The sequence below is a fragment of the Homo sapiens genome, chromosome 22, assembly GCF_000001405.40.
Source record: "Homo sapiens chromosome 22, GRCh38.p14 Primary Assembly".
NCBI classification, from domain to species: Eukaryota; Metazoa; Chordata; class Mammalia; order Primates; family Hominidae; genus Homo; species Homo sapiens.
In genome coordinates, this window is record NC_000022.11 from 47,057,696 (window position 1) to 47,078,225 (window position 20,530).

At 50.8% G+C, this 20,530-nt stretch overlaps 1 protein-coding gene and 1 long non-coding RNA gene across 13 annotated transcripts in view, besides 2 other annotated features; both read left to right on the forward strand.

Moving 5' to 3' along the window:
* The window catches only part of TBC1D22A (TBC1 domain family member 22A), a 413,050-nt gene that overhangs the window by 295,046 nt on the left and 97,474 nt on the right, over positions 1 to 20,530 (forward strand).
* Positions 2,283 to 2,342: an enhancer, noted in NCBI's record as "active region_19268". NCBI's record gives its function as "activates an Ori minimal core promoter by ATAC-STARR-seq in GM12878 lymphoblastoid cells {active_cell/tissue: GM12878}" and the evidence as "EXISTENCE:reporter gene assay evidence [ECO:0000049][PMID:35858748]".
* On the forward strand, positions 2,929 to 7,152 carry LOC124905141 (uncharacterized). The gene is made up of 2 exons (XR_007068142.1): positions 2,929 to 3,582; positions 4,805 to 7,152. It is a non-coding gene; the product is annotated as an uncharacterized LOC124905141 (long non-coding RNA).
* Positions 8,910 to 9,410: an enhancer, noted in NCBI's record as "H3K4me1 hESC enhancer chr22:47462501-47463001 (GRCh37/hg19 assembly coordinates)". NCBI's record gives its function as "activates a minimal SCP1, AML or CMV promoter by ChIP-STARR-seq in naive H9 embryonic stem cells {active_cell/tissue: H9 hESC(naive)}" and the evidence as "EXISTENCE:reporter gene assay evidence [ECO:0000049][PMID:30033119]".

The following is a 20,530-nucleotide window of genomic DNA, read 5'->3' on the forward strand; positions in this document are numbered from 1 at the left end:
TCAGATCTCATGAGACTTACTCACTATCGCGAGAATAGCACAGGAAAACCATTCCCGTGATTCAGTGACCTCCCACTGGGTCCCTCCCATAACACGTGGGGATTATGGGAGCTACAATTCAAGATGAAATTTGGGTTGGGACACAGTCAGACCACATCAAAATGGTTACCCCTGCCCCATGGGGGTTTATAAGGTGAAATGCAACTACACTTGTAAAGGGACCTGCTGGGCAGTTGATGGGTGAAGATCCTGGGCTTGTGGTCAGGCAGGCCCCACGAGGATCTCAGCTGCGTCATTGCTACTGTGTGGCACCAGCGCAGGGCCTCGACCCCCCTTGGGCTGCCCTAGGTGCAGCAAGGATTGCAGGCCAAGGGACTGGCACAGCAAGGACTGCCCAGCAGATCTGAGCTCCGGTGGCCACTGTTGTCTCAGCAAGCAACAGGCTAGCTTCACGCCACACCCTGCGTGCGGACTCCTGTGTCTGGCCCAGACAGCTGGAGCTCCCTGCCCTTAGTGGGTCTTTGTGTCTCAAAGGTGGCTCTGAGGGGCTGGCCTCCTCCCCATGCCGTGCAGGCCTGGAGCTGCTTGTTACTGACTTGACTTTCTTCTCGGACTCCTATGATCCTGTCCCTCTCCCTGCCCCCCAGCTTATGATTCCACCCGCCCGACAGAAGCCATCACAGGGCCAGTGCTCTGCAGCCAGGCCAGCCCTGCGAGAACGAGTTCAGCCCTCAGCCCCACCGTCCTTCCTCTTCCCGGCTCCTTGTGGTGGTTATGACCACCCAGTCTAGTCCAGCATTAGAGCCCTCCTTCCCCTCACCTTAGCTCTTGCCTCCCCTCCCTTGTCTACTCTTCTCTGATCCCTCTGCCCTCTCTTCTGCTTGCTCCAGGCCACTGTCCCCTGGTTCCGAGTTACACATTATCATGTACCTGTGATTCCCTGTTAGCAAGGAGGCAGGGCTCAGAGAGATGTCCAGGTGGACAGGCTGGGTCCCTGGAGAGCCACAGTGGCTCTGCCCCACCAGGCTCGCTGAGGCCCAGGCCTTGGTGGGGTTGGTCCGTAGGTCCCAGCGCTCAGAACAGCTTCTGACCCAGCCGTGTTGCTCTGTGACTGTTGGTTGAATAAGGTGGCATAAGTGAAATGGAATGACTAAGGAGCATGAATGGGGCCCGCTGGACCCAGGTGAAGGAGACAGATCTTGAGCAGTGGTGGGGCCCTGGGGAACCTCTCCCCATACCCCTCCCTCAGTTGAGGGTGAAGAAGGACCAGTCATCATCACACAAGAACTGCGGAGTGTCCAGGTCCTGCGCTGGACACTCTACACGTCCCCTGTCATCCTGGGCACTCCACACACCCCTGTCATCCTGAGAGCTGCTGCGTTCAGTAAGCGTTGTGATGGCCACCTTACAGATGAGAACATCAAGGCTCGGCCAGGGTAGGTGCTCTTGTCCAAAGCCATCCAGCTGGTAAGTAGCAAAGCGCTGGGGGACAGGCCATGCCGTGTGGGCGCCTCCACTGTCTGGCACCTGGATTTTCTGCCAGGGTCCTACTGGGCATCTTGAACACACTGGTGTGGGTGCGCACGCGTCTGGTGTGGGAGCCCTTTCTTGACGCTGTAAGAGAGCAGTGAGAACTAGAAGGTGCAGACAGGAGGGCGTTGCACTGGCAGCGTCCCCCCGGCCTCTCACACCAGCGCCCACTCTCACTTCACTTTTCAGAAGCCATAGCTTTGCGCCTTCTTTCCACGGGAGTCATTTGAGCTGCATGTAAAAGTTTTAAAGTTTTCTCCTGAGCACTAAATTGGGAGCGTGTATGTGTGTTTCCACCCCCAATGTGAGCAAGTCTGTGTCTGTCACCCAAAGATACTTGTTTAATTGAAGGATTCCTTAAATTATTTTAAGGAATGAAGAATTACCGATCTCCTGAAAGGCAGTTTTTTAAGCTCCCACCTCCAAGTGTGTAAGCCTCAAAGGTCCCTCTCTCTGTCATGAGCTAATTGGAATGAAATGCAGGTGCCGTTTCTGCCTGAGCTCCAGCAGCATCCCTGCGCTTTCAGGTCTGAGCCAGCACATGTTTCTGGCATTTAGACTTTACGGTAACAGCAGGGATCTTATGATTATTACTAAAGATGGTTTTGGAAGAGGACCATCTGTGACTATAAAAGTGCACAGTTTCAGTTATGCAAACGAGTGCTGTGGTGTTTGTGTGTTTCACAGAAGATGAGCTCCAGGCCAAGCTTCTCTGTTCCAGGGTACAGGAGGCTGCAGGAGCGTCGCACAGCCGCCCGATCTGCAGGGAACTGCCCATGACATGGCCGTCCTCCTGTCAGAAGAGGACTCTGGGGGCTCGAGATCCTGGAGAAAAGGCCTCATTTGGACAGGACTGTGGCAGTTTATGTCCTGATTGTTGGTGCATGTTTTATGCACGTGTTGGCTCCGTTTATCATTAAAACCAGGATGCCAGAAGCCAGTGCTCTGCGTACTTCCAGCAGGCAGATCAGGCCTCCCTTCAGCCTCTGCGGCCCCTGCTAAGGGTTTCTGACTTTTTTTTTTTTTTTTTTTTTGAGATGGAGTCTTGCTCTGTTGCCCAGGCTGGAGTGCAATGGCATGATCTCGGCTCACTGCAACCTCTGCCTCCTGGGTTCAAGCGATTCTTCTGCCTCAGCCTCCCAAGTAGTTGGGATTACAGGCGCCCACCACCATGCCCAGCTAATTCGTTGTTTTTTGTTGTTGTTGTTGTTTTGGTTTTTTCTGAGATGGAGTCTCGCTCTGTAGCCCAGGCTAGAGTGCAGTGGCACAATCTCGGCTCACTGCAACCTCCGCTTCCCGGGTTCAAACGATTCTCCTACCTCAGCCTCCCGAGTAGCTGGGATTACAGATGCCTGCCACCACGCCCACCTAATTTTTTGTGTTTTTAATAGAGACGGGGTTTTGCTGTGTTGGTCAGGCTGGTCTTGAACTCCTGACCTCAGGTGATCCGACTGCCTCTGACTTTCTTTTTGGGAGAAGTTGGTGATGGTTCAGCAGACAAATAATTGCCAAATTACATAGGAGGAAAATGCTGCCAGAAAGGGCACACAATTTAGCGGAGTCAGTCCAGCAGCAGGTGCCTTTGGAGGCTCCCCTGGTGTCCCATGTGTCTGAGGTTGCTTCCCTTCCATTAGCGCCATGCCGCTCGACTCCCATCATCGGGGCGGTTGCAGAAGACAGGTGGTCATTTATATTTTATTGTCAGGGGCCTTGTCTTTGCCTACTGAAGATATATTTGCAGCCCCTGGAATGACACTTGGGATCATTCAAGGTAACCACCGGAACCGCTCGCATGCGACCTCCTGGAAAGGTTGAGCCACGCTGTCTTCCTCGGTGCCCTCACCACGGTCCTGGAAAGGTTGAGCCACGCTGTCTTCCTCGGTGCCCTCACCACCGTCCTGGAAAGGTTGAGCCACGCTGTCTTCCTCGGTGCCCTCACCACGGTCCTGGAAAGGTTGAGCCACGCTGTCTTCCTCGGTGCCCTCACCACGGTCCTGGAAACGTTAAGCCACGCTGTCTTCCTCGGTGCCCTCACCACCGTTCTCTGTAAAGGTGCTCAGATGCTTTCCTTGGGGCAGATACGGGGCCTGGCTTGCTCTCCCAGAGATGCCCAGGTGTGCAGGGCCTCTTCCTCCTCCCCTCACTCTCTCCTCTGCCTTGGTCGTGGTCCCTGCTTGGTTCCCTGGTTCTGGTAGTCCCTCGAGAGGGGATGTCCTTTCCTGCTCGTCCTCAGCCACCAGCACTTGGCAGAGCCCTTGCTACACGAGCAGCTCTCACAGAAGCTTCGAGCGCAGATCCAAGGGTGGCTTCCGATCCCTCACCGCAGCTTCCCCACACAGTCCTAAACATATTTGCAGCGTTTTGTTTTGTCTCTTCTGTAGCCTTAGACAAGCTGGGCTCCAGCATATGCCCCTTTTCACCTGACTCCTTCCACTCTCCATAGTCATCTAGAGATTTAGCCAGGATTTTGCATTGTCGGTGGTTTGTGTCTTTGTGTAGTGGAGTGGTTTGTCATCGTAAAGGATTCTTTCCTTAAAAGTGTTCATCTATTTCCTCCCAGTCTTGAGGTTAGAAAGTGTGACAAGGGTGTGGTGGCTCATGCCTGTAATCCCGGCACTTTGGGAGGCTGAGGCCAGCGGATCACTTGAGGTCCAGAGTTCGAGACCAGCCTGGCCAACATGGCAAAACCCCGTTTCTACTAAAAATACAAACGTTAGCCAGGCGTGGTGGTGCATGCCAGTGATCCCAGCTACTCCGGAGGCTGAGGCAGGAGGATTGCTTGAACCTGGGAGGCAGAGGTTGCAGTGAGCCCAGATCGCTCTGCTGCACTCCAGCCTGGGCGACAGAGCAAGACTCCATCTCAAAAAAAAAAAAAAAAAAAAAGACAATGTGACAATGTCAGTCCTCCGCCCCCTTTGTTGCTGTCAGTCAGAACGCGGATTGTTTTCCCAGGGTTCCGGCAGTGTGGACCCTGGACCAGCAGCCTCAGCATCACCTGGAAACTTGCTAGAAAAGCACATTCTCAGGCCCTACCCAGGCCTCCTGAATCGGAAGCTCTGGGTGTCCCGGCAGTCTGTGTGCTCCTGGGAATTTGGACACCTGCTTGTGTCTGAGGTCTGAGGTCCATTCTCTGTGGGGTGAGGGAGGATGAGGGCTGGGCCTGCTGGCTTTACAGTCAGCTCGGAAGCAGCACGTGGCTGTCTGGACAAAGCCTTTGGTGTTGCTTCCTTTGTCCTGAACCAATGTCCGTGTGTTCCTTTCTGTTTTATTCCAGAATACGGTGCATGGTGGTTCCTCTAGCGTGAGTGCCGTAGTGATTTCTACAGTGCATGGTGCTTCCTCTAGCGTGAGTGCCGTAGTGACTTCTATTCCTGTCACGACATAAAATGCAGCCATAGGTGCAGCTTCGTGTGGAAAAGACTAGGAACACGAGGCAAATCCCTGGTCGACCTTAGGAAGTGGGTGAGGGGAGAAGCCTGGGGGCCCACAGAACTCTGCACAAACTGCGTATCTGTGAGCCAAACCATTGTTATTTTAAGTCATTAAGTTTGGGGTGACTTGTTTAATCCAGATGAACCTGCAGGCTGCCCAGGTTATCTATGAGTGGTGGGTGGTGGCAAAGAGCAGCCATTCCAAGCAGAGGAAGAAGACTGGCTCATAGGACCGCACTCCACAGCCCCCCAGGCCACCATGTGCAACGAGTTAGTTGGTACTGCATCTGGGAAAAAGCCTGAAGGTGAGAAACAGCAGCGAGCGCAGGAACATGGAAACAGGGAGAAGGTGCCACTGTGGTGACCCCAGAGGAAGGAGGCCATCTGAAGGCAGGCACGGTGGAGAAACAGGATGGGCAGTTCTGGGTGCAGGAGCAGCAGGACTCGGTGGAGGATGGACAGAAGGAGGAGTCTAGGCCAAGGGCCTCACCCCTGGCTGAAGAATCGCTGGGGCTCAGGAGCCACAGATGCTCGGATCCCGCCTCCAGGGTTCCCAATCTCATGGGACACTGGTAGTCAAACCACCCCGGATGGCTCTGATGCGCAGCCAAGGCTGTGCGTGACTCTGGGGCCAGGGCTAGTGGCTGTCACTAAGGGCCACCCAGCAGGAGCGGTCTGAGGGTAGGTGAAGAGGTTCCCTTAGGATTTGGGGAGATGGAAGTTAGGCCCGGCCTCGTCCTGGAGCCCCGTGGGTGGAAGGGAGGCCTCGTCTGGGTGATGGAGAGGACAGCCTGCAGAGAGACCGGCGGGGGTGTGCACCAGGGCATACTGAGCCTGGCCATTGTGGTACAAGGCCTGGGTACTACCAGCCTCGTGCCTGCTGGGGGTCCGGGAATGTTTGGGGAGCACTGTGTTGAGGGTGAGCCTGGGTGCCCCTCCAGTCACACCTGAGGAGGTGAAGAATGTCAGGACTGGGCTGTCACTCGCGTGGAGTATCCATGTCCTAGAGCTGCCATGTGTCACACACTGAGGGCTTATAGGCCTGAGAGTTCTGGAATTGGGGTGTGGGCAGGGCTGGTTCGCTCTGGAAGCTTCGAGGGAGAATCTGCCCCATGCTTCCCCTTCCCGCCTCCATGTGTTACCAGTCATCCTCGGCATTCCTGACTCATGGCAGCCTCACTCCAGTCTTTGCCTCTGTCGCTACGTAGCCTTCTCCCATTGTGTGGCTGTGTCCACGTTTTCCTCTTCTGTGAGGACACCCATCGTTGGATCAGGGCCCCCCTACTCCAGTGTGGCCTCCTCTGAACTGCATCTTCAGGTGCCCTGTTTTCCTCTTCTGTGAGGACACCCGTCATTGGATCAGGGCCCCCCCTACTCCAGTGTGGCCTCCTCTGAACTGCATCTCCAGATGCCGTTTTCCAGGGAGGCCACGTTCACAGGAACCACCAGGACCGGGGCTTGAGGGACACGGATCCACTCGCTGTGGACAGGCCCTCGTGGAGCAGGGCTGATGCGTTGCCGTTGCCGGGGAGCCGCTGCCGGCACCCGTGCTCTCTCTGTGGTGAACTGGCCCTCCTCTCCCGCTCAGCAGTTTAACAGGCCAGTGCAAGCTGCTCAGTTCCCGGGCAGCGGTGCCGGGCGGTCATGCCGCTCTAAGCCAGGCAGGTTTGTCCACAGGAGGCCACTTGTGGTTCAGCAAACACAGAATTAGAAAACCAGAATCCCTGTTGCACGTCTCTGCAGATGGAGCTGTTCAGCTCAGTATGGTTAATGTCAGGGAGGATTAACTGGTTCAGTCTGATCCATTTACCTGATGGTATTTTATTTTAAGTACAGAGGTGGTAGTACATTTTCAGAAAACATTATTCCTTTTCTTACTGCTGCGAATGCACTGTCATTAAACGTGGCTTTAAGGCCAAGCTGGGCCTGGCCCTGCCCAGCCGTGCTCAGCACTGCCCCCTCGTCCTCCTCAGGGCCTGGCAGGGCTCTGTGGTGACTGTCGCCATCACCGTAACGCAGGACCAGATGATTTGGAAGGAATCCTAGGGGCATCTGGGTATTCATAAACGCTGAGATTGTCCCTCTAAGTGTCTCCTGTCTACCATCTTACTCAGGATCGCTGGCCCATTACGGTGTCAGGAATGTGCTGCTTTTAATTAAATTTCACGAAGAATAAATGTTAACTCTCCAAGTGTCTTTAGTTTCTTCTCTGTAGTTGACAGTCCTTTTGAGAAATGGATTGTACACTTTAATCATTGTCATTATAAAGAGGCAGTTTCTAAGGGATGTATCAAGGTTTTTAAAAATTTGTTTATTATTTATTTTATTTTATTTATTTATTTTTTGAGACGGAGTCTCACTCTGTCACCCAGGCTGGAGTGCAGTGGCACGATCTCGGCCCACTGTAACCTCCGCCTCCCGGGTTCAAGCGATTCTCAACCTTCCGAGCGATTCTCAGCCTCCCAAGTAGCTGGGATTACAGGTGCGTGCCAACACGCCCGGCTAATTTTTTTGTATTTTTATTAGAGACAGGGTTTCACCGTGTTAGCCAGGATGGTCTCAATCTTCTGACCTCATGATCCGCCCACGTTGGCCTCCCAAAGTGCTGGGATGCAAGCGTGAGCCACCATGCCCGGCCTAAGGCTTTTTTAAGCAAGAGGAATCTCAATTATAAATTAAGGTTATTTTTTAGTTCTTTTTGGTTCCTCACTAACATTAGTGAAAAGCGAAGTTCCGAGAGTTCAGTCTCACAGGTGGGCTCTGTGCAGGTGGTAGCCTTTCTCCACGGGGCAGGGCTCACGACCCTCCTGCCAGCCTCCCCTGTGGCTGGACACTCCTGGACCTGCTTCTGTTGGGGGGCAGGCCTGGCTCCCTGCCCCTCCCCTGCCTGCCCTTGGGGGAGAGTTAAGAAACAAGTATTAGTGAAGATTTCATTGTGTTTTTGCTGTGGGTCTCCACGAGGACTTAGCAGGCCTCGGAGTTGGGACTGGGTTGGATTGAGGGAGACCTGCGTGAGTCACATCCTCAGTTTCCCCATCTGACTTGAGGAAGCTGCAAAGTTCTAAGGTCTAGAAGCAGCTGGTTTTTAGTGTTGTGTTTTGTTTCAAGTGAGTGACTTCAGGTGAGGAGATGCGGGTTCCTTGGCCACGTCGTGAATCCTGCTCTGAGTTCCTCAGTTCCCCCTGTGTCCAGCTGTGCGTGGGGTGGGAAGGAAGGAGGATCGGGAGAAATGCAGTGTCCCCCTGGGAATACACTGAGTGAGTGGACCTTGGGCACACTGGACCCATGCCTAGCAGACAACTGGACATGTAGATCCAGGAAAAGAGCCCTCCTCTGAGTCACGCCACCCTGTGCGTCATGGGAGATAAAGACTTGTATTAAACAAGCTGGTGGAAAGAAACACATTTATCGAGGATCGTTAGGGAAGGTGATTGATGTCATCAAAACACTTTGCATTGCAACATGCCAACAGCATTTTGGGAACTAAGCTGCTGGGGACTAGATAAACCAAGGCATATGGGTACAGCTCACAGGCGTTTCTTAAAAAGCTGGTTTTGTTGAAAAGGAAATGCATCTTAAAATTCACACAAACAATGGCAAAGCCACCTGGTGCTCACGCAGGAGGATGTGGTGCTGCCTGAATCCTGAAGTGGGTGGCACCCACGAGGGGGGTTCCTCGGAATGCTGGTGGCGTGTGCCGGGACGTACGTGCGGGACTAGAGGGCACATGAGGGGATGCTCGAGTCAGGGGAGGTCGGGAGGGAGGGAGGGCCAAGCTTTGGCTGCCCAAGGGTGCACAGTATATCATGGCTCAGCCCCGCGAAGAGACGCTCCTCTTGAGGGCACCTGTCCCTCTGTTTGCATCCCTTGGTGAGGGACCAAGCGTGTGCGGAGGGAGGCTGGGAAGCACAGCCTGGCTGTGTGTCCACTATAAGGTATTCCCGTGGAAGGCAAAGCACAGCGTTAACAGAGTGCTGGCCAGCTCTGTCCCACAGTTCCCTGTACCTTGGCACGCAGCAGCTCGGGAGGCAGCACTTGCCCAGGCAGCCAGCCTCTTTGAAACTCATCTACCTTGGGCATCGGGGAAACCCTAGGTCCCCCATGAACTTTGCTCGACCCCCTGGCATACCTGTACCTCTGCTCTCCTCCCTTGGCCCATTCCACATCTGTATTTTAATGCAGCTCTAACACTGGTGTCTGGATAGGTCACTGCAAATCCTGTCTCGAATGGGCCGTGCCTATTAAAAGGGTTTGACTCCCCACAGACTCTGTTGCCTGTACCTGGCTTGGTTTGCCCGATACCAGTCCTTTTAAAAAAACTCATTTTGGCCAGGCGCGGTGGCTCACGCCTGTAATCCCAGCACTTTGGGAGGCTGAGACGGGCGGATCATTTGAGGTCAGGAGTTTGAGACCACCCTGGCCAACATGGTAAAACCCTATCTCTACTAAAAATACAAAAATTAGCAGAGTGTGGTGGCACGTGCCTATAAACCCAGCTACTCAGGAGGCTGAGGCACGAGAATCACTTGAACCCGGGAGGTGGAGGTTGCAGTGAGCCGAGATGGTGCCACTGCACTCCAGCCTGGGCAACAGAGTGAGACTCTGTCTCAAGAAAAGCCCCCATTTTAACCACTCTGTCTCTTCTTCCAGGCCTTTAGAGGCAGAAGAGAACCATTGTAAATTCCAGCACAAGCTCTTTCAGGCATTGTTTATAGTTTAATAAATCCTGCCACCTCTATTCATCCCGGTAATGAAGGGGCGACTGCTCAGGAGAAAAGCCAGGGTGCACAAAGAGATGGGCATTAGCATATAAAAGGACAGAGGTGGGCCTTCCACCCTTTGCAACGATGCTCCTTGTACATCCACAGAGAATTCCCTTCTGATCAGTGCACAGTGAGTAAAGGCGCCGGCTCCAAAGATGCCTGCTCAGAGTGGCTGGGCGTGTCTGCCCCAGGCTGTCCTGTTGTTTCGGGTTCATCATGGTGGGAGGTGGTGTCAGGGATCAGAACAGGCAGAGATGCCTGGGGATGGATGCCACAGCCTCAGGAAGGGACCATCGTCATGTATTTAATAACTTGAAACAGATTAAGACCACGAGTGTGCGTGCACACACACACACTTGCGCTTGCATACGTGCACTCACAGAACTGTGCTTTGCTCAGCACTTTCCCAGCTGAATGGCCCTCTTCAGGTGCCTGAAGGCCTCTGGAACACACACTTGTCTGTCTGTCGACCACCTGTTCATGCACGATGCTTTGAGTGCCTCTGAACATTCGGACTCCATGTGTTCTAGTTCTGCATGCTGGACATAACAGACTGACAAGCACCATCCCCTGCTCTGGAGGAGCCTTCCATTGAGAGGGGTCAGGGAGTAGACATACCTCCACCAGAGTCCGCGAAAGCGCTCGGCAGGGAGAGCTGGGGAGAGGGGCTCCCCTGTCTGGCCACGGGCAGTGTCTAGTCACCTGGCTTGTTTTCTTCTTTGGCAAACCAGCAGCAGAGACCTTGTGGGCAGAAGTCTCCACTCTGGCCGGACCCTTGACTGGGGTAGCCACCCATCCATGGCACCACTGTCGAGGGGAGAGGAGCCGTTGCCCCCAGGGCTCTTCCCTCCCTCTCTGCCGGCATCATTGGGTAGAAAGCAGGCATCCTTGACACTGCTAGCCATCAGGAGAGCCAGTGTTACCAAAGGCCATCAGGAGAGCCGGTGTCACCAAAGGAAGTCATGTTTCTTTCTCTGAAGTCCGTGTGTCAGTCCCACAGGATGTGAGACGTCAGAAGATGAAGATAGCTCTTCTGGTGGGGACTTTGATGTTACGACTTGCAGCACCACAGAGCACCTGCTTTTCATATAAGTTCTTTCTGTGGACCTGAAATAATCCAAAATCATCTCATCAAGTGGAATATGCCATATGATATTTAAATACCTGTAATTTCTCTAAAACCCTGGGGCCAGAAACTCTAGTGGTTGCTCTATTCATGGATTCATGTTGCAGTAAAATGTGATAATTGATGAATATCTGTGGAAATGGATATGATTGTGTCCTTTTAAATGAGCTAACAATTTCACGCCGAAATCTCAGCAGTGCTATTGTTTAGAATAAAAGGAGACATGCAAATGAGGCCAGGGTGCAGATTGTGGTAGAACAATGCTGGCAGCCTCTTTATTGGACCCATTAATTAATTCCCCATCAGCCAGTTTCCCTGGGAATGAACTGGAAAAATAATTAAAATGATACATGAGGTAAGGAGTTTAGAAATTCAAAAGGTGAAGGCGAGAATTAGTTTAATACGTAATTAGACATATTATTTGTGACTCTACGTTTTTTTAAATGTGGCTCACTGAGGCAGTAGGGTCCTATTTTTAGTCCTGGATAGTTAATAAATATCACTTGGGGCTGTTTTTCAACCCACAATGGCTCATAAATTTTCTTAATAACATTAAGTGGCTAATTATATTGTACATTGTTAAAATAACTTCTATTGCAAAATCTAATAATACCACAAAAGTTTGCAAAAGCAAGTTTTTAGAGGAATTCATTTGACTCAATTTCCAAGTGAGATCTGGCACACGTAGACCAAACTGAAAAATGTATAGCAAAGAATCTGCAGGTTCACATATATTTTTGTTGCAAACATGATCCAAACAATCTCAAAACCCAACTTCGTTTTAGTGTGAGTGGTGCAGATGGAACGTCGTACCTCCCAGAGTTCAGACTGAGTGCTGGCTCCATGGCTCTTGGGAGTGGCGGAATCTTAACGGAACGTGCTTCCACTGCTGTGTCCTCTCGGTGAGGCCTCGGCCCTAGCCTCAGTGTTGCATATGTCAGGATGGACGAACGTGAGTCTTGGCATGGTGCAAGTGCATCTGAATTGCATGTCTCTGTCCTTGCTGGAGCAAAACCCTGTTGTTTGGATGGAGCGGAGCTGACCTGACGGTTCCAGGCTGTTCCCTGTTGTTTGGTTGGACGCTGTTCCCTGTTTGGATGGAGTGGAGCTGACTTGACGGTTCCCGGCTGTTCCCTGTTGTTTGGTTGGAGCGGGGCTGACCTGACGGTCCTGGCTGTTCCCGGTTGTTTGGTTGGAGCGGAGCTGACCTGACGGTCCTGGCTGTTCCCTATTGTTTGGTTGGAGCAGAGCTGACTTGACGGTTCCCGGCTGTTCCCTGTTGTTTGGTTGGAGCGGGGCTGACCTGACGGTTCCAGGCTGTTCCCTGTTGTTTGGTTGGAGCGGAGCTGACTTGACGGTTCCAGCGCTGTCCCCTGTTGTTTGGTTGGAGCAGAGCTGACCTGACGGTCCCAGCGCTGTCCCCTGTTTGGTTGGAGCGGAGCTGACCTGACGGTCCCAGCGCTGTCCCCTGTTGTTTGGTTGGAGCGGAGCTGACCTGATGGTTCCAGGCTGTTCCCTGTTGTTTGGTTGGACGCTGTCCCCTGTTGTTTGGTTGGAGCGGAGCTGACTTGATGGTTCGAGACTGTTCCCTGTTGTTTGGTTGGAGCAGGGCTGACCTGACGGTCCTGGCTGTTCCCTGTTGTTTGGTTGGACGCTGTCCCCTGTTGTTTGGTTGGAGCGGAGCTGACCTGACGGTTCCAGGCTGTTCCCTGTTGTTTGGTTGGACGCTGTCCCCTGTTGTTTGGTTGGAGCGGAGCTGACTTGATGGTTCCAGGCTGTTCCCTGTTGTTTGGTTGGAGCGGGGCTGACCTGACGGTCCTGGCTGTTCCCTGTTGTTTGGTTGGAGCGGAGCTGACCTGACGGTTCCAGGTTGTTCCCTGTTGTTTGGTTGGACGCTGTCCCCTGTTGTTTGGTTGGAGCGGAGCTGACCTGACGGTTCCAGGCTGTTCCCTGTTGTTTGGTTGGAGCGGAGCTGACCTGACTGTTCCAGGCTGTTCCCTGTTGTTTGGTTGGACGCTGTCCCCTGTTGTTTGGTTGGAGCGGAGCTGACCTGACGGTTCCAGGCTGTCCCCTGTTGTTTGGCTGGAGCGGGGCTGACCTGACGGTTCCAGGCTGTTCCCTGTTGTTTGGCTGGAGCGGGGCTGACCTGACGGTTCCAGGCTGTTCCCTGTTGTTTGGCTGGAGCGGGGCTGACCTGACGGTTCCAGGCTGTTCCCTGTTGTTTGGCTGGAGCGGGGCTGACCTGACGGTTCCAGGCTGTTCCCTGTTGTTTGGCTGGAGCGGGGCTGACCTGACGGTTCCAGGCTGTTCCCTGTTGTTTGGCTGGAGCGGGGCTGACCTGACGGTTCCAGGCTGTTCCCTGTTGTTTGGTTGGAGCGGAGCTGACCTGACGGTCCCGGCGCTGTTCGTGTAAGTTGTTTCTGTTTCCCTGTTATTTTGAATATACTTAAATGGCCCAATAATTCCATTTCTGTGAACCTAAGAGTATAAACATTTCATAAGATTATTGAACTTAAAGTGATAGGCCTGGCTGGAAATATTTTACCCCATACCTGTGCTTATTTCTTTTTAATGAGCAACTGAAAAGTAATTTTAGTAACCAACCTCCCATACCTTTGGAGAACAAATAAAACCACAGTAATTTCCACGTATTAAGAGCCCACATGCGCCTATCACTGTCATCCACAGTCTGCACCTGTTAGCTTGTTTAAGCCTCCCAGGAGCTTGCACAGAGTATGGCCAGATACCCGCCTTACAGCCTGTGCTGCTGTGGCCAAGGAAAAGAGGTTTTGTGCCTGGGGCAGTCAGACCTTCCAGTGGGAGTGACTCTTGGCTGCTCCCTGCCCGTCCTCAGTTGCTTTTTGGTGGAAGTGCAGGCCCCTCTCTCCCCACTCTGCCCTCCCAGCCACCTGAGCCACTGAGCTTCTGCAGCAGCACAAGCCCTTTCAGTCTTCCTGAGTCGGCCCCACTCTGGGGTGGGCTCCCGCTTTTAGGCTCTTTGCTTTCACAATCAAAGTTACAACGGGAAGCCCTTCACTCGGGGCCGGCGGGAAAGGATCCAGCCCTGCTACTTCCATTCTTTCCTTTTAAACAAGACTCTGTCCATTAATCATCCTCTGGTTTGATCTGTCAATCCAGAAACCCTTGCTAATGCTTTATGGCTGTGGTTTGTTGCGGTTCTGGGAAAGAGGAAAAGAAATGAGCCAGTCCTAATAAATGAAAGTTATTTCCTCATTTGAATTTCTGAGTCCTGAGAGTCAATATGATGCAGACATCAATCTTGTTATTCTCGGAGTGGAGAGACAGTTTCTGATTGTGCCTCTCCCTGGGTTGTGATGATAAAACGTGTGGTGTGTTTGGCTGGGCTCAGTCATGGCCTCTCCTGAGACCCCCTGCCTTTTTATATTGCAGATAACACACATGGCTTAATGCTGGAAACAGGCCTGTGTTCCCTTGGTCTTTACGAGTGTTATTCTAGAAAACTTCATGTTTCTAAGGTGGTTTCATTTGTCATGAATACTCAGATGCGGTTTTCTCTAGCAGCCCTCCGAGTGTGCTCGGAAAGGTGAGGCCCCCGAGGCAGAGGCATGGCCAGGACGCTGGTGGGCTTCTTTGGGAATTAGGAGGAAAAAGAGGAGTGGGGCAGAGCCTGGAGAGGCTGCCCTCCTGGGGTGCAGGCCGGTGGAGGATGTGGAGCTGCCCAGCTGGCAGGTGGCAGAATTGGGACTGAAGCTCAGTCCCCACTCGTCCAGGCCACAGCTTCTCCTTTGGGGCCACTCTGCCTCATTCACCATCTCTCCAGCACCAAGCAATTGTGTGATTCTTACAATGTGCCTGTCGTGCTTCTGGTCGCAGCCTCCTTGGCTTTGCAGCAGTGCAGTGCCTGGGCCTGCATTTGGCAGAAGTGGAGTTCCCAGTCCCATCCGTGGAGTGGCCTTCCCCTGAGAGCTTGCCTGGTATGTTTCAGATGCAGGGGCTTCTGTCTCTCCATGCCTTATGCACTTGGCCACACCCCTGTTAGCACCCCTGCCATTTCCCAGGGCCACTGTTGCAGGCACCCAGGAAGGTGCCTGACCTGGCTCTACATCCCACACCCTGTGCAGGGGGCCTAGCATGCTGGCAGCCTGCTAAGAGCTGGATAGGTATGTGGTGAGCACATGGCACCCCGATCCGATTTACTTGGTGTCCTGTCGGGCACACTTGTGAATACCCGCCAGGCCTGTGTGTGGGTGGAGACAGAACCTGCCCTCTGGCCATCGAGGCTGTGCCTCTTGGCCATACATGTCATGGTCTTGTTCATCAGACCTGCCCTGCCTGTCTGCTGGGAGGGCCCGCATGGAGCCTCTTGCCCAGCTGCAGACAAGGGAGGGTGACCGGCCCCACACTCCTATATGAAGGATGGATAGCTCTGGGCAGCTTTTTGGTTCTGGGGTCAGATTTGAATGTAAAACTGAAAAGTCCTAAATTTATTAAAGGCTTTCTTTTGGGGCTGGAATATGCAATAGATTTTCTATCCCTCTCAATTCCCTCTTAAAATTTAATACTGCCATAAAAATGATGGATAACAAATTATTCCAGGAAAAATGGTACTGAAAGACTCTTCTAACTGTTGAAGCAGAAGTACAGACTTGGCGAAGAAATAGACATGACCCAGAAAACTCACGAGGAAAGAGGAAATCGTGTACTTTGTGGAAACCATATCCACGTAATGTTGTTCCAGGCTGTAGAAAGCAACTATTGTTATTCCAGATACTGAAGCACAGAGTCTATTTTGTGCCGCTGGCGGTTTCATTAACATAGTAACACTCTGCCTTTCTAGAATTGGGTGAGCAGCCTTCCCTGTTTGGAACACTGCAGAGGGAGACTGAACCCCACAATTGATATCAGAAGGCCCCGTGTGGATGCCTCTTCAGGGTGCCTTCCACAGAGCTCTGCCAGCATGCTGAGGCTGCGGGGAAAAACCATGAAGCCTCATAAATATATACAATGATTGTGTGTACCCATAATCATTAGAAATAAAAATTTAAAAAAACACATAAAACCACAAGGGCTCTGATTGCTGGGTCTAGGACTTCCCCACTCCGACAGTGATGGTAGCAGAAACAAGGCCTGACAGCCAGACCCCAGGGCAGGCAGCAGGGAGGAAAACAGATTTAAAAATCGCACCAGACACTCATTTTCTACAGAAGTCTGCGTGTCGTTAATACATGGGCAAACAGCCCTTTGTTCCTTAGTAGGCCTTAAAGACACCACCCCATGGGAGCTTTCTAAAAAAGATAGTATTAAAAGACTATGATTCAGGCTGGGCACATTAGCACACACCTGTAATCTCAGCACTTTGGAAGGTCGAGGAGGGCAGATCACTTGAGTCTAGGAGTTTGAGACCAGCCTGGGCAACATAGCAAGACCTGATCTCTCTACAAAAATTAGCTGAGTATGGTGGCATACACCTCTGGTCTCAGCTACTCGGGAGGATCAGTCGGGCCCCGGAGGTTGAGGCTGCAGTGAGCTATGATCGCACCACTGTACTCTAGCCTGGGTGACAGTGAGACCCAGTCTCAAAAGCAAAACAAAACACCCCACAAAGTATATAATTCAGACTTAACATCCTGACTCTTGTTTTTACTCCAAGGCAATGAAGCAATGATGTGGACGATGCGTGTCCTAATCCGGAGCGCCTCCCAGGCTAGGAATCCAAGCCAGGTTATGGCTTAAATGGAGACCGATGGAGCTGCTAGCTGAGATCGCCCACATTGGCCTCTGCAGACTCCCTTGTTTTCCCTAATGTGTGTCAACACATCTATTAAGGGGAAAGGACTGCTCGGTATCAATGATTTCCACTTGGAAATGTCACCATGACAACTGAGGAGGTGCTGGAAGCAGGCACTTTGTTAATTCTGTCTTAACCCATCCCAGGCAACTTCAAAACTTTTTCTCTGGAGAGAAATAGGCTTATTTAGGAAAGGCGTCTCTCATTGATCCTCAGCTACATCCACTGAAGTGAATAATTTACTTCTTTGGCAGGTTTAGAAAATTAGATGCATACAATCTAATATCCCTTCTTTGTACATTTTCATGTGAAATCTTTTGGAGTGCTTTTTGATAGCCACCCCCTCGGGGACCTGGAAGTGGCACTGTCTGAATTCTGTTCTGTCGGTTCTGTGAGGGACAGATGCTCCATGTCATCCTGAGAGCCATCCTACCGCCTTCCTGCCCAGTCCTCTTCACTGGCACCTCCATTGGCCAACAGATCAAGTCTGCACACCGCAGCCTGGCTGCGAGGGTCCTTTTCATCCAGCCTCATTCATCAGTGTTCTTGTGAGCATCTACTCTGGGTTAGGCCCAGACCTCCTGGGTTAATCAGATTGAACAAAGGGGTGTAATAGAGAACCAAAGGGCCAGGTGCGGTGGCTCACGCCTGTAATCCCACCACTTTGGGAGGCCAAGGCAGGCAGATCACGAGGTCAGGAGATTGAGACCATCCTGGCTAGCACAGTGAAACCCTGTCTCTACTAAAAATACAAAAAATTAGCCACGCATGTTGGCGGGCGCCTGTAGTCCCAGCTGCTCGGTAGGCTGAGGCAGGAGAATGGCGTGAACCAGGGAGGCGGAGCTTGCAGTGAGACGAGATCACACCACTGCAGTCCAGCCTGGGCGACAGAGCGAGATTCCGTCTCAAAAAAAAAAAAAAGAGAACCAAAGTACTAAACTGGGAGTTTGTGGGGACATAGATCCCTGCTTTGCTTCTTGTGTGTGTTGGGGGAGGCTTTGTAGGGTGCTGAGCTTTCAATATCATATATCACATGATCCTGAGAACTCCCAGAGATGCTGATAGAGCATCAAAAACAGACTTTCAGCCAGGTGAGGGGGCCCATGCCTGTAATCCCAGCATCTTGGGAGGCTGAAGTGGTAGGATTGCTTGAGGCCAGGAGTTCAAGACCGTCCTGGGCATATAGCAAAATCCCATCCCTCAGTGTTAAAGGGTGACCACTATAAATGAGTAGAAATATAATATACAACTTCTAAATTAGTAGAGGGAAAAAGAGAGAGGAAGAAAACCTTGATCAATACAATAGAAGGCATAAAAGGAGAAGAAATATTTTTAAAAAGCAGTAAAAGTAAAAATCATGAATAAGATATTTTAAATAAATATTGAGATAGTTATTTAAATAAATGTAAATGGCCTAAATTTGCCAGTTAAAAGACAGTGATTTTTGAAAACTAAAATCCAACTATGTGGTATTCATGATTGACACACACACACACACACATATGGACACAGAAAGTTTTGAATTTTATAAATGGAAAGAAATACAATAGGAAAATCATGACTAAAGAAAGTTGCAATAGCTACACTGATATCAGACAAAATTGATTTTAAGCCAAAATGTATTAGTGTTAGGAGATCTCTACAGGATGATAAAATAAATAAGTCACTAGGGATATATGGCAGTTCTGAACGTATATGCACCTAAGAAGCTTGGCCTTACGGTATATTAGGTAAATGTTGCCAGAATTACAAGGACAGATTGACAAATCTGTAATCATTGTGGTAGATTTTATCTTACCTTTCTCATTAGTTGATAAGCCAACAAACAAAAAGTGAGAAGGCATAGAAGATTACAACAGTACAAAAACAAGCTTAATTGAACGGTTGTATATAGAAGTCTGCACCGGAAAACAGAGAATAACGTGAAGCATTTGTAAAAATTGAGCACATGGAAGGCCATAGCAATTCTCAACAAATTCCAGCAAATTGGGACTGATGTATATATATGTATATGTGTGTGTGTGTGTATATATATATATGTGTGTGTATATATATATATATATATACACACACACACACACACACACACACACATATATATATATATATGTTTTCCCATGGTGCATTTAAAATAGAAACCAGTAATACAAAGAGAACAACAATACCAAATCCCCTGCATTTGGACATTTTAAAATGCACTTTTTAAATAATTGAACAGTGTTTTGGTAGGTGATTAGGTATTTATTAAATAAATCTGGCAGATTGGAGTTCTGCAGGCCAGGGAAACTATGTGAGGACTGGTTTATCTCCTGCATTTCCTTCCACTTGTTCTCCCTCCCATTTTTCTTGTTTGTTCTCCTCCCTGACCTCCATTATTGGTCTCCGCATTTGTGATAGTTCGTTTGCTTTGACTGCATGTAACAGGTGGGGGAAAACAAACAACAACAGCAACAGCAACAGCAACAAAAAACAGTTAAAAAAGAATATCATCTCCCTGTGACAAGAGTGTAGAGGTAGACATCTGTGGGACTGTGAGATCATTGGTGGCACACATCTTGATGCTCTGATCCTCTTAATGTGCTACCTCATAGTCCATAAGGGCAGCTTGAGTTCCAGCCGTCATGTCAGTATCCCAGCTAGCAGGAAAGAGGAAGTGGTAAAGAAGGGCATCATGCCTTCTTCACTGAAGGATGCATCCTGAGTATTGCCTGTACTTCTGCCTGCGTATTATTGGCAAAATGTAATCACATGGCTGTTCTTAGCTGAAAAGGAGACTGGGCACATGACCACTTGTTCCTGGTGCCAATGGCTCAGCTAAAAATTGTGGATTCTCTTATTGAAGAAGAAGGGGAGAAAGAGTATTTGGTCGGAAGCTGGCAGACTTGGCCACATCATTCCACTGGCCATTCCCCAACTCTCTGTGTGCATTCACTACTCTTGTACATACTATCTCCTCTGCCTAGACATCTTTTCCTCTTTCCCTGGTGAGTGTGGACTCTTTCTGATGACTCAGTCTTCACCAGTATGTGAGTTCTGGCTTGGGATGTGACTTACTTGTGGCTAAGGGCAGTTTGTCCCTTTAACCTGTGATCCCAGGTTGCTGTGGCTCCAGAGTTGTCTGCAGTACTTATCTTTCCCCAAGGCCTGGTAGCAAGCCCTCCCGCCCTATTGGAAGTGGTTTCTTATTGCTTCGGTTCTGCTGGGGGGTCTGAAAGGTCTGTGTTCAAGTTCCGGCTCTATGCCCGGTGACCTTTAGTTGCACATTGAGTATTTATGGTGCTCTTTCTATGTGCCTGGAGCTGTTGTAAGGAGCCCAGCAATGAGGTGCTCACACTCTGGTGGGGAGTGAGACAAGTGAAGAGGCAGTCGCACTGCAGAGCACCGAAGGCTGCGGTGGCAGAAGCACGGGGACCATGGGATCAGTGAGCAGGGCCATTGGGCTTAGTCTGAGGGGTCAGAGAAGGCTTTCTGGGATAAAGCTCATTTTGTGGCTTATTTTCCTGAACCTGTGTCTTCATTTTTAAAATGGGATAGGAATGCCTGTGCGCCATGATTTGAAAAGGTTAAAAGGATTTGCACAGAACTTGGCCCACAGTCTGTACTCAGTACCTCACGGTTTTCTTTTTCTGCTCTCCTAATTTGCGCTCCTTCCTGGAATGGTTGTCTCAGTGTTGCCTTGCCTTGCCCAGCAGCATCTTGTATTTAGCACTTGAAATTTACAGAACTTGGTCATACATGCCCATCTGTTACAGCAGTGTTCTGGATCTCCATGCCAGGCCCATCCACGGAGTTGCTGTGTTTGGTCCCCCTAGACACCCTTGAGGGGGTAGAAAGTGTGATTTCAGGTTTTGTGGATGAGCAGGCTATCACTTGGTAAAAGTATGTGGCAGTGCCGTGGAGAGAAACAGGG